This window comes from Homo sapiens, chromosome 19 (genome assembly GCF_000001405.40).
Source record: "Homo sapiens chromosome 19, GRCh38.p14 Primary Assembly".
Classification (NCBI taxonomy): domain Eukaryota; kingdom Metazoa; phylum Chordata; class Mammalia; order Primates; family Hominidae; genus Homo; species Homo sapiens.
Genome location: NC_000019.10, coordinates 9,761,210 through 9,774,275, shown reverse-complemented (window position 1 = coordinate 9,774,275; position 13,066 = coordinate 9,761,210). Strand labels below are relative to the sequence as shown.

Sequence of the window (13,066 nt, the reverse complement as noted above, 5' to 3'; positions counted from 1 at the left end):
AGGGTGGTCTCTATCTCCTGACCTCCTGATCCTCCTGCCTCAGCCTCCCAAAGTGCTGGGATTACAGGCATAAGACACTGCGCCCGGCCTGGGATTGTTATATTTTTGAGTTAACCTGTTAAGAATTGCTATCTATATGATGTTAAGTCATCTTATAGAAGAACAAGGAATTTTCCATTTGTTCAAGTCTATTTTGTGTCTTTCAAGAATGTTTGTTTTAAAGCTTCTTCATGTATGTTTTACACATTTTTTGATAAGTCTAAACCTAAGTATCTTTATGTTATTCTACATAAGTTTTATTACATCACCTTACTGGCTTTTGACTGGTAGATGAATGCCATTGGTTTTTAGATAGCAATTTCACATTCTGTTAACTTATTATTTTATTCTCTAGGGCTTTCCATATATAATATCACATCATCTGCAAAAAGAGATAGTTTCCTTCTTTTGCAATTCTATGCTTATTTACTTTTTCTTTTTCTTTTTCTTTTTTTGAGATGGAGTTTCGCTCTGTCGCCCAGGCTGAAGTGCAGTGGTGCAATCTCGGCTCACTGCAACCTCCACCTACCGGGTTCAAGTGATTCTCCTGCCTCAGCCTCCTGAGTAGTTGGGATTACAGGAGCATGCCACCATGTCTGGCTAATTTTTGTATTTTTAATAGAGACGGGATTTCACCATGTTGGCCAGGCTGGTCTCAAGCTCCTGACCTCAGGTGATCCTCCCACCTTGGCCTCCCAAATTGCTGGGATTACAGGTGTGAGCCACCGTGCCCAGCTGCAATTCTATGTTTCAAAATTAATTTTTCTTACTGAATTGTATTAGCTAATGCTTCCAGTACACACACACACAGACACACACACACACTCAGCTATAGGTACAGGCAATCATCTTAAGAAAGTATTCACTAATTTCTATTTTTCTGGAGTGCTGATATCAATAAGGGACATTGCACTGGGTGTGGTGTTGCACGCCTATAGCCCCAGCTACTCAGGAGGCTGAGGAAGGAGGATCCCTTGAGCCCAGGAGTTTGATCCAGCCTGCACAACATAGGAAGACCCTATCTCAAACAACAATAATAATAACAATAATAATAAATGAGTGTTGAATTTTTTCCAAAGGCTTCATCAGCATCTATGGAGAAAGTCACATGACTTGTTCTTGTAGATGTATTTTTATGGTGCATTATTTAATGGATTTTTTTTCTTTTCTTTTCTTTAGACAAGGTCTGGCTCTATCACCCAGGCTAGAGTGCAGGGGCATGGTCGGTTTTAGTTCACTGCAGCCTCCACTTCCTGGGTTCAAGCAATCCTCCCACTTCATCCTGAGTAGCTGAGATCACACACGACTAATTTTTGTCTTTTTTGTAGAGATGGGGTTTCAACATGTTGCCCAGGCTGGTCTGGAACTCATGAGCTTGGGCAATGCAACCTCCACCTCAGCCTCCCAAAGTGCTGATATTACAGGCATAAGGCACTGCACCTGGACTATTTAATGGATTTTCTAATAACTGCACTAATACTGCTGTTTTATGCTAAATTTCATGTGGGGATAGTTATTTTCTTAATGTGGTCTTGTATTTTATTTGCTAATAGCTAACAGCATATTTGAATCCATATTCATAATTGATATGGTTCTGCAATTTTTCATTTTTTGTACTCTACCACTTTTTTTTTTTTTCTGAGACGGAGTCTTGCTCTGTCACCACTGGAGTGCAACGGTATGATCTCAGCTCACTGCAACCTCTGCCTCCTGGGTTCAAGCGATTCTCCTGCCTCAGCCTCCTAAGTAGCTGTGATTACAGGTGCGTGCCACCACACCTGGCTGATTTTTGTATTTTTAGTAGAGACAGGGTTTCATCATGTTTGCCAGGCCAGTATCAAACTCCTGACCTCAGGTGACCCACTCACCTCGGCCTCCCAAAGTGCTGGGATTACAGGTGTGAGCCTCCATGCCCAGCCTCTACCACATTTTATATCAATGTTATACTTTCTTCATAAAAGGAATTAGGAAGTATTTCTTCATTTTCATTGTTCTTAAGTTATGGAGCACTGGGAATATTTGAACTTGGAAGGTTTGGTATAATTCTCCATTTAAAACATCTAAGCTCACATTTACAGTCTAATGATGGTTGACAAAGGTGTCAAAACAATTCAATGGGGAAAAATAGTATTTTAAATGAATGGGACATAGTCTTAAAAATGTCTGAAACAGGCTGGGCATGGTGGCTCACACCTGTATTCCCAGCAGTTTGGGAGGCTGAGGTGGGTGGATCACGAGGTCAAGAGACCGAGACCATCCTGACCAACACGGTGAAACCTCGTCTCTACTAAAAATACAAAAATTAGCTGGGCATGGTGGTGTGCACCTGTAGTCTCAGCTACTTGGGAGGCTGAGGCAGGAGAATCATTTGAACCCAGGAGGCGGAGGTTGCAGTGAGCCAAGATAGGCCACTGCACTCCAGCCTGGCAGCAGAGTGGAGACTCCATCTCAAAAAAGAAAAAAAAAAAGGACACTTGCACACACATGTTTACAGCCCACAATTTGCAACTGTAAAAATATGGAACCAGTCTCAATGCCCATCAACTAATAAGGGGATAACAAAAATGTGGTATATATACACCACAGAATACCACTCAGCTATAAAAAGCAAGAAAGTCATAGCATTCTGAGCAACCTGGATAGAGACTATTATTCTAAGTGAAGTAACTCAGGAATGGAAAACCATATATATGTTCTCACTTATAAGTGGGAACTAAGCTATGAGGATGCAAAGGCATAAGAATGATATAATGAACTTTGGGTGGGCGCAGTGGCTCACGCCTGTTATCCCAGCACTTTGGGAGGCCGAAGTGGGTGGATCACTTGAGGCCAGCAGTTCAAGACCAGCCTGGCCAACGTGGGAAAACCCCATCTCTACTAAAAATACAAAAATTAGCCAAGCATGGTGGCGCATGTCTGTAATCTCACTTACTCAGGAGGCTGAGGCAAGAGAACTGCTTGAACCTGGGAGGCGGAGGTTGCCAAGATCATGTCACTACACTCCAGCCTGGGCAACAGAATGAGACTCCATCTCAAAAAGAAAAAACAAAACAAAACAAAAAAGGATAGAAAGAAAGAATGCACTTTGGGGACTCTGGGGGAAGGGTGGGAGAAGGGTGAGGGATAAAAGTGGATAAAAAACTACACATTGGGTACATTGTACACTGCTCGGATGATGGGTGCACCAAAATCCCAGAAATCACCACTAAAGAACTTATCCATGTAACCCAAAACCACCTGTTTCCCAAAGGCTATTGAAATAAAAAATAAATAAATAAATAAACCTTTTTCCATTTTGGTTTACATTTATATTCTTTTTCTAGGTTTTATTTTTTGAGCTGGGGATTTATTTTTTATTTTTTATTTTTTTGAGACAGTTGTGCTCAGTTGCCCAGGCTGAAGTGCCGTGGCGCCATCTCAGCTCACTGCAACCTCCGCCTCCCAGGTTCAAGTGATTCTCCTGCCTCAGCCTCCCGAGAAGCTGGGATTACAGGTGCGCACCACCACGCCCTGCTGGTTTTTGTATTTTTTAGTAGAGACCGTGTTTCACCATGTTGGCCAGGCTGGTCTTAAACTCCTGTCCTCAGGTGATCCGCCTGCCTCGGCCTCCCAAAATGCTGGGATTACAGGTGTGAGCCACTGCACCCAGCTATTCTTATTTTTATTGACAAAAGTGTTTAGGAATATGAATGTTCCTTTGACCACTGCTTAAAATGCGTCTTGTATTATCCAAAAAAGCCAAAAAAAAAAAAAAAAGAGAAAACCCAATATCCAACAACTGATGTTATGATACAGCCATACAATGGAATCTTATTTAGTAAAAAAAAATTAAGTACTGATACATGCTAATTGGATGAACCTTGAAAACATTGAATGAAACAAGCCAAACACCACGTGTTTTATATTCTAATTCTACAGGCAATATCTACAGTAGGCAATCTATACAGACAGAAAGATTAGCTGTTGCTTTGGACTCTGGGGGTGGGGGTGGGGCTGGATGAGCAGATTGGGTGATCATGGCTAGGGTACTGGGTTTATTTTTGTGGTCATGAAAATGTTCTAAAATTGATTGTGATGATCGATGCACAAATATATGAATATACAAAAAGCCACGAAACTGTACACTTTAAACAGGTTAATTGTATGCTATGATAATTGTATCACAACAAAACTAAAGGCCTAAAGAAGGAACTGAATGTATCAGAGGCACAGAGCATTTTATGGATTAACAGGTTAATCTTTTTTTTTTTTTTTTTGAGACGGAGTCTCACTCTGTCGCCCAGGCTGGAGTACTGTGGCATCGTATCAGCTCACTGCAACCTCAGTCTCCTAGGTTCAAGCAATTCTCCTGCCTCAGCCTCTCGAGTAGCTGGGATTACAGGCGCCCACCACCACACCCGGCTATTTTTTAAAAAATATTTTTAGTAGAGATGGGGTTTCGGCATGTTGGCCAGGCTGGTCTCGAACTCCTGAACTCACGTGTTCCACCCGCCTCGGCTTCCCAAAGTGCTGGGATTACAGGCGTGAGCCACTGCCCCCAGCCCCATCAGGTTAATCTTTCAAACAGGGTGTCGCTGGTCTCGAACTCCTGGGCTCAAGCGATTCTCCCGCAGTAGCTAGGACTACAGCGGGATTATCTTTGTAAATATGTTTATATCCCTGCAGAGGGTTGAAGAAACAAGGAGAAAATCCTGCAGAAAAGAATTTCCCTAGGGTGGTGGCTCACGCCTATAATCCCAGCACTTTGGGAGGCCAAGGTGGAAGGATCACTGGAGCCCAGGAGTTCCAGATCAGCCTGGGTAACAAAGAGAGACCCTGTCTCTACAAAAAAATAAAAATAAAATAAAAATAAATTAGCCAGGCGTGGTGGCACACACCTGTGGTCCAAGCTGCTTGGGAGGCCGAGGGGGGAGGATCCTTTAGGCTCAGGAGTTCGAGACCAGCCTAGGGAACACAGTGAGACCCAAGTGTCTAGAAAAAGATAACTTAGCTGGGCGTGATGGGCCCAACTGTGGTCCAAGCTACTCCGGAGGCCGAGGCGGGAGGATAGCTTCAGCGCAGGAATTCCAGGCTGCAATGATCTATGACCGAGCCACTGCACTCCAGCCTAGGCGACAGACCGGAGCCTTATCTCAAAAAACTAAAAAGAGAAATTAAAAAAGAAAAGAAAAGCACTCGATGAGCATCCCGCTGTCTGCAATCGAAGCCTTAGGTGACGCCTCCACGCGTGCCCCGCCCGCTGCGCCAGTCCCCGCCTCCAACCCGGCCCTTGGCGCTGGGTTTCCTGGTCCGGCGTCGTTCCCAATATCGACAGATTGATCTGGATCCTGGTCCACCTGGGATGCGAGAAAACGGGACTTTTCTGTACGCGTGTCGAAGAGGTGGCCCCAGCTCTTCTCTCAGCTTCACATCATCCTCATTCCAAAGCTCTTGGGGCTCGGCCCCTACACTTAATGCCGTGCGCAACCGGAAGCGGAAGTGCCAGCCGGCGCGCAGCTATACGTATTCCCCGCTCTCCAGCAGCTTCCTAGCTGGGTTTTCACCTCAGCCAGCGCTCATGCTCAACCTAGGCAGGGCGGGGCAGGAGGGCCTAGCGGGAGGCGGAGCGAGGGTCGGAGGGTGACGCTCCGGACTTCTGCTAGGTCTGAGACGCGCCGGCCTCCCGCTGCTGCTCCGGAGAAGCGGCGCCTCCTCCCCGCCAGGACCCCGAGGCGGGGGGTTCCCGCCTTCTCTTCTGAGCGCCTCTTCCCGCTGCGCCCGCATCAGTCTGGGCCTGGCCCAGGGTCCCCGGTGGAGACGTGTTTTTTTCTCCAACCACCGTGCCCCTCTGTTTAAAAGCAGCCAGTCAACCTTTGTGTCCTTTCTCCAGAAGGAAAAGCATCTCAGCTGTTGTGGAAAAGGGCCCCAGCGTCCTCTTGTCACCGACAGGGCGATTGCAGTGCGTTCCGGTGAGCCCTGGACGGAGGAGATGATCTGGCTGTGGGAGGGCATCGCTTATTGAAGTTTGCGAAATTGCTCAGCAGTTAAATGCTTTGTCAAGTGTGCAGGAGTTGTAGGTTTATAGAAATAAAAGCAAATATTGCCACAGTTATAAAGCAAAGTAGCAATACTCCGCTGTGTTTTTGAGATCAAAAGCAGCTGAACTTCCTAGGTCAGTACCTCCCAAAGAGCTTCAAAACGGAGGGGCTTCCAGGAAGTAGGATGCCGCCTTCATTATACCAGTATCAGAAATTACAGTTGTATTAACTGTGAAAGAGACATGTTTTGATTCAGCGTTTTTCCTCTCGTATATATACATATTTTGAGACGGAGTTTCGCTCTTATTGCCCAGGCTGGAGTGCAATGGCGTGATATAGGCTCACTGTAAACTCTGTCTCCCGGTCCAAGCGATTCTCCTGCCTCAGCATGCTGAGTAACTGGGATTACAGGCATGTGCCACCACGCCCGGCTAATTTTGCATTTTTAGTAGAGACGGGGTTTCACCATGTTGGTTGGGCTGGTCTCGAACTCCTGACCTCGTGATCCACCCTCCTCGGACTCCCAAAGTGCTGGAATTACAGGTATAAGCCACCGCGCCTGGCCTTCCCCCTCATATATTTTTATTTATTTATTTACGTTTTAAAGACAGGGTCTTGGTTTGTTGCCCAGGCTATCTGTAGATTGAATATTCTAAACCAAAGAAAATGTGAAAGGCCAGAATATTGAACACCTATTATATATCCTTGTTGTAGACTGATCATTTGTTAATATTTTGCATGTTTTCTGTTTCTTTGCATCTCTTGTGTAGATCAATGTGTATTGGCCGGGTGCGGTAACTTAAACACCTGTAATCCTGGCACTTTGGGAGGCCGAGGTGGGCGGTTCACCTGAGGTTGGGAGTTCCAGACCAGCCCGACCAACATGGAGAAACCCTGTCTCTACTAAAAATACAAAATTAGCCAGGTGTGGTGGGGCATGCCTGTAATCTTAGCTACTCGGGAGGCTGAGGCAGGAGAATCGCTTGAACCCGGGAGGCAGAGGTTGTGGTGAGCTGAGATCGTGGCAATGCACTACAGCCTGGGCAACAAGAGCAAAACACCGTCTAAATAAATAAATAAATAAATAAAACTAGGCCGGGCACAGTGGCTCACCCCTGTAATCCCAGCACTTTGGGAAGCAGAAGCAGGAGGAGCCACTGAAGCTATGAGTTTGAGACAAGCTGGGACAACATAGTGAGACCCCATCTCTACAAAAAAAAAAATAAATAAATAAAAGCATAACTAAAGTCAGTGACAATATCAAGTCTTCTTTAAGATGTGCATGCATTGCTGAAGAGAACACTTTTTTTTTTTTTTTTTTGAGACAGAGTCTTGCTCTGTTGCCAGGCTGGAGTGCAGTGGCATGATCTCGGCTCACTGCAACCTCCACCTCCCGGGTTCAAGTGCTTCTCCTGCCTTGGCCTCCCGAGTAGCTGGAACTACAGGTGCATGCCACCATGCCCAGCTAATTTTTGTATTTTTAGTAGAGATGGGGTTTCACCATGTTGGCCAGGATGGGTTTCACCATGTTGGCCAGGATGGTCTCCATCTCTTGACCTTGTGATCCACTCACCTCGGCCTCCCAAAGTGCTGGGATTACAGGCGTGAGCCACCATGCCCAGCTACATTTTAAAACAGTGACAACTAAATATGGACTTGGTGATGCAACATGCATACGTGTGCCAGGCTAAATGTAAAAGTTATTTATCACATTATTTGAAATAGCCTAAATTAGGAACAACCCAAATGTGGATCCACAGAATGGGTGAATTGTGGCATATTTCTGTGGCTTTTTTTTTTTTTTTTTGTGACAGAGTCTTGCTCTGTCACCAGGCTGGAGTGCAGTGGCGCAATCTTGGCTCACTGTAATTTCTGTCTTCCTGGTTCAAGTGATTCTCTTGCCTTAGCCTCCCGAGTAGCTGGGATTACAGGTGTGAGCCACCCATTTTTCTTTGTATTTTTAGTAGAGATGGGGTTTCACCATGTTGACCAGGCTGATCTTGAACTGCTGACCTCAAGCGATCTGCCCACCTCGGCCTCCCAAAGTGCCGGGATTACAGGCGTGAGCCACCATGCCCAGCCTCTGTGGCATATTCTTCAGCAAAGATATGAACCAAATCACAGGTGGATGAACACAACAACTTGGGTGCACCTCACCAGCATAATGCTGACTGAAAGAAGCCAGACACAAAAGTATTCTTACTGTCTGATAGTTGCTAGGCAAAGTCAACTAGAGTATTTTTTCTTTTATTCTTTGTTTTCATATATGTGTATATATATATATGTATATTTATTTGTTTATTTATTTATTTAATAAAGAGACTTGGTCTCACTATATTGCCCAGGATGGTCTCTAACTCCTGGCCTCAAGCATCCTTCTACTTCAACCTCCCAAAGGGTTAGGATTACAGGCATGAGCCACCCCCTGGACAATTAGAGTATTAAGTGTCAGAATAGTATTACAATTGGGAGGCATGCCATGGAAAAGACTATGTCTGCAATGCAGGGTATGGAAATGCTTTATTTGTTTGTTTGTTTGTTTGTTTTGAGATGGAGTCTTGCTCTGTCACCCAGGCTGGAGTGCAGTGGTGCAATCTCGGCTCACTGCAAACTCTGCCACCTGGGTTCATGCTATTCTGTTTCCTCAGCCTCCCCAGCTGCTGGGACTACAGGCACACGCCGCCATGCCCAGCTAATTTTTTTGTAGCTTTAGTAGAGACGGGGTTTCACTGTGTTAGCCAGGATGGTCTCGATCTCCTAACCTCGTGATCCACCCGCCTCGGCCTCCCAAAGTGCTGGGATTACAGGTGTCAGCCACCGTGCCTGGCCTACTTTTTTGTTTTTTAAGATGGAGTCGCACTCTGTCAGCCAGGCTGGAGTGCAGTGGCATGGTGTCGGCTCACCGCAATCTCCACCTCCCAGGTTCAAGTGATTCCCCCACCTCGGCCTCCCGAGTAGCTAGGATTACAGGCATGCACCACCACACCTGGCTGGTTTTTTTGGATTTTTAGTAGAGACAGGGTTTCACCCTGTTGGCCAGGCTGGTCTCAAACTCCTGACCTCAAGTGATTCGCCTACCTTGGCCTCCCAAAGTGCTGGGATTACAGGCATGAGCCACCATGCCTAGCCTGAAATACTTTTTCTTTGATGTATCCAACTGACATGCCATTATTCTTTTCCAAAGGTCATTTTTTCCAGGACACTTTCTGTCTTCATGACAGGAACATCGAGAAGCCAAGGCTAGTGGCTGGGTTACTGATGGATTACTGATGGATTCTTCTCAGGCAAGTGGAAAGCAGACCTAACTTCAAAATGTTATGCTTGTAGCCATCATCGGTAGCCTTACCTTGTTATCGTGTATTCAAGCATCTTAAAGAAATGATGGTCCTGCTCAGGAAATAACTCCCCAGGTGAATTTCTCTAGGAACCAAGCCATCTCAGGTTGTACAGAGATTGCAATGGAAGTGTATTGCGGGATCTGGCCAGCAGCCCACAGTGCAACGGGGCTCTCTCTTTGTTCCCAGGCAGATTGGCAGGTTGAGAAATAATAGACACACACAAGATAGTGAAGGCTGGGTCCAGGGGGGTCACCGCCTTCTGGTCCCACAGTGCCAACAATGCACTGGATATACCAGCAGTTATTATTAAGCTTAGTGAGGGCGGGGGTAGGTTAGTGAGGGATTTAGGGTCATTTGATTATGAGGTGAGATGGTCACATGGGGATGAAGTAATTCTTTAACATAACATTTGTATGTAGAAGTACAGTACATTTGTATGTAGAAGTACAGTATACAGAGACAAGAATTTAAAATATAGTGTGTGTGTCAGTAATTTCTAACAGAGCCTTAAAACAGAAACACAATCTTTCCATAACCTATGATTAGCAAGATATTAATCAGCAGTAACAATTGCCACAAATGCTGGTTAGAAACAATCCATGGAAACAGGATGTGAAGCTAGACAACTGGTTAGACCAGAAGTTCTCAGAAGGGAGTATGCCTTAACTTTAAAGAGGCCTACAAGAGCCGTGACAAGATGAGGGCGTTTATCCATATGGACAGGCACCCCCCATGCATCTGTTTATAGGCTCTCCACAAGGGTCGCATTCCATTCCCAGAGCTATGAACATCTGCTTTTCTGGGATAGGAATCTTGGTGATGTGAAACCTCCCTGACTGCACGTCCATTCATAGGCTCTGTGCAGGGGGAAGCACATCACACGCTGTTGGCTCATTCTGGCAGTCCAACCTGGCATTGTCTTTACACAATCCTGCATGCAATTTTGTATTTACAGTAATCAGGAGCATTTCATCTTTTATTCTGTAGCAATAGTTTCAGTGGGTCTCCCTACAGAAATGATTATTTTATCTCAATGTTTACTAATTCTTTCTGATCCTCAATCATGCTTGTTGGCTCATTGTTTTGCTGAGTGTTATGACAGATTGTAAGAAAGGGATGGAGATGTCTAATCTGAAGGAATTTGTGTGTCACTGTGGAGATAATTCATTTGTTATTAGATTTTACATAGTGCTGCAACATATTCAGTGCAGACTGCACCTATAAATAGAGGAGGACTAAGGCCAGAAGAGCCCATTGTAAAGCTGTAGGAAGATCAGTTTAGTCATGTTTCAGTGATGCTGATAAGTCCATGGGATTGGATGCCATTGCAAGACAATATCTATATAGAGGAGAAGAGGCCTGAGGCCTGGGAGTACTGCAGGCTTCTAGTCTTCCTTAGTCCTTCATGCATTTTTCTCAGAACATCAAAGGAGATGGTACTTAGCTGAAGCTGGCATGTATTTAATGGTTTAGCACTTAGTGACCTTTGAGGATGTGGCTGTGGACTTTACCCAGGAGGAGTGGACTTTGTTGGATCAAGCCCAGAGAGATCTCTACAGAGATGTGATGTTGGAGAACTACAAGAATCTCATTATACTAGGTAAAACTGGCATCATTTCTTCACTGACCCCTTTAGGAAATCAATGTTTCTTAAATGTTTGCTGTCAAATGAGGGTACTGTAATAAGCAAGACAGGCATGGACCTTGGCCAGTGGACATTCCTTTTTTTTTTTTTTTGAGACACAGTCTGGCTCTATTGCCCAGGCTGGAGTGCAGTGGCATGGTCTCTGCTTACTGCAAAGCCCCCCCTCCTGGATTCAAGTGATTCTCCTGCCTCAGCCTCCCAGGTAGCTGGGATTACAGGTGTGCACCACCATGGCCATCTAATTTTTGTATTTTTAGTGGAGACAGGGTTTCACCATGTTGGCCAGGCTGGTCTCAAACTCTGACCTCAGGTGATCCACCTGCTTTGGCCTCCCAAAGTGCTAGGATTACAGGCGTGAGCCACCATGCATGGCCTGGGCATTACTTTATAGAACAAGCTTGTAAACTTTCTTAAAGCATTATGAGATTTATGCACAGACCAGTTTTTTTGTTTATTTGTTGTAGCTCATCAGCGATCGTTAGTGTTAGTGTATTTTATATGTGGTCCAAGGCCATTCTTCTTCTTCCAGTGTGGCCCACGGAAGCCAAAAGATTGGACACCCCTGGTGTAGAGGATTCCCCATGAAAATAAAGATTTAAGTAAATGAGTTTATTTAATGTATGGATTAAAAACTTTAAGACTTTAAATGTGTATGAAGTTGGACTTGGTTTTCCAGGCTCAAGCAATTCTTCTGCCTCAACCTTCTGAGTAGCTGGGACCACAGACCTGTGCCAGCATGCCCTGCTAATTTTTGTATTTTTAGTAGAGAGGAAGTTTCACCACGTTGGCCAGGCTGGTCTTGAACTCCTAACCTCAAGTGATCTCCCTGCCTTGGCTTCCCAAAGTGCTGAGGTATGAGGCATGAGCCATTATACCTGGGCAACATTTTTGTTATTTTAAAAATAGTTTTAGTGCATGTATTGGAAATGTTATATGATTAGTTTGCTATTTGTAAAGTTACACTTGACCATCTTTAGAATCCCCGAAGGCAAAAGTATTGGTTCCCCATTGAAGGACATGGTGTTATGTCTTGCATGGGCCTCTTCTTTTGTGCATTTTTCCCTCCAGCAGGGTCTGAATTATTCAAACGTAGTCTCATGTCTGGATTGGAACAAATGGAAGAGCTGAGGACAGGAGTGACAGGAGTTCTGCAGGGTGAGTTCATAAGCAGATGTGGTATTATGGCACTGCTGTGCCACCCTAGGAGACATGCAGTACATTGGAAATGTTACTTTGCGAACTTCTCAGGGTATACTCTTCTTCCTGAGAAGGCTGAGGCCATTTGGTTTCCTTAGATACTTTCAACTCCCCTCATCTTTAAATTTCCATTGATCTTCTCAACCTCTTTTCTGTTCTCAGAAAGGTTTGTCTGCCTTATTTGAAAATTCCATCTTATGCATGTAGGTCCTTTGCCAACACCTTCTTATATTGCTTTCTTGATTCTCCCATCTTTTTGCTTACTACCAGCCTCAGTTTTCTGCATATTATTAGTTGGATAATAAGTAATACAGGTTTTTTTTTTTTTTGAGATGGAGTCTTGCACTGTCGCCCTGGCTGGTGTGCAGTGACATGATCTTGGCTTGCTGCAACCTCCACCTCCTGGGTTCAAGCAATTCTCCTGCCTCAGCCTCCCAAGTAGCTAAGATTACAGGCACCTGACACCACGCCCAACTAATTTTTTGTATTTTTGTAGAGATGGGATTTCACTATGTTGGCCAGGCTGTTCTCGAACTCCTGACCTTGTGATTCACCTGCCTCAGCCTCCCAAAGTGCTGGCATTACAGGTGTAGTGATAGTTTTGACACCATATCTTTACCATTGCAAAACTTCTGACATAGCCAAACTCTTTATAGTCCATCTTTCCATTTGCTTCACTCTTTTTTTTTTTAATCATGTTTTATGCATGTTTGGAAAGATATACAAATGTGCCATATACTTTTTTTAGGTAAAATATACAAAAATTTACCATTTTAGTGTTGTGTAGCTATCAGCTCTTTTTAGTTTCAAGGCATTTCTTTGTTTGTTTG

At 44.7% G+C, this 13,066-nt stretch overlaps 1 protein-coding gene across 23 annotated transcripts in view, besides 4 other annotated features; it reads left to right on the top strand.

Annotated features, from left to right (window-relative positions):
• The window catches only part of ZNF846 (zinc finger protein 846), a 37,542-nt gene that overhangs the window by 11,885 nt on the left and 12,591 nt on the right, over positions 1-13,066 (top strand). For 4 of the 23 annotated variants that reach the window (NR_172871.1, NM_001395832.1, NM_001353798.2 and 1 more), the window contains exons 1-4: positions 5,538-5,987; positions 9,241-9,340; positions 10,868-10,994; positions 12,108-12,194. The exons of 2 other annotated variants lie outside the window; for them this stretch is intronic. Coding sequence is in view for 12 of the 21 variants with exons in the window: in NM_001395832.1 (NP_001382761.1) it covers positions 9,326-9,340; positions 10,868-10,994; positions 12,108-12,194 (229 nt within the window). In the remaining 9 variants the exon portion in view is untranslated. Of the gene's footprint in view, positions 1-5,537; positions 5,988-9,240; positions 9,467-10,814; positions 10,995-12,107; positions 12,195-13,066 lie in introns of those variants that run through there. 17 more of the 23 variants (NR_172870.1, NM_001395831.1, NM_001395830.1 and 14 more) reach the window with 11 other exon arrangements.
• Positions 4,745-5,610: an enhancer, noted in NCBI's record as "H3K27ac hESC enhancer chr19:9879342-9880207 (GRCh37/hg19 assembly coordinates)". NCBI's record gives its function as "activates a minimal SCP1, AML or CMV promoter by ChIP-STARR-seq in primed H9 embryonic stem cells {active_cell/tissue: H9 hESC(primed)}" and the evidence as "EXISTENCE:reporter gene assay evidence [ECO:0000049][PMID:30033119]".
• Positions 4,745-5,723: a biological region, named in NCBI's record as "H3K27ac hESC enhancer GRCh37_chr19:9879342-9880207".
• Positions 5,254-5,473: an enhancer, noted in NCBI's record as "active region_13934". NCBI's record gives its function as "activates an Ori minimal core promoter by ATAC-STARR-seq in GM12878 lymphoblastoid cells {active_cell/tissue: GM12878}" and the evidence as "EXISTENCE:reporter gene assay evidence [ECO:0000049][PMID:35858748]".
• Positions 5,554-5,723: a silencer, noted in NCBI's record as "silent region_10039". NCBI's record gives its function as "represses an Ori minimal core promoter by ATAC-STARR-seq in GM12878 lymphoblastoid cells {active_cell/tissue: GM12878}" and the evidence as "EXISTENCE:reporter gene assay evidence [ECO:0000049][PMID:35858748]".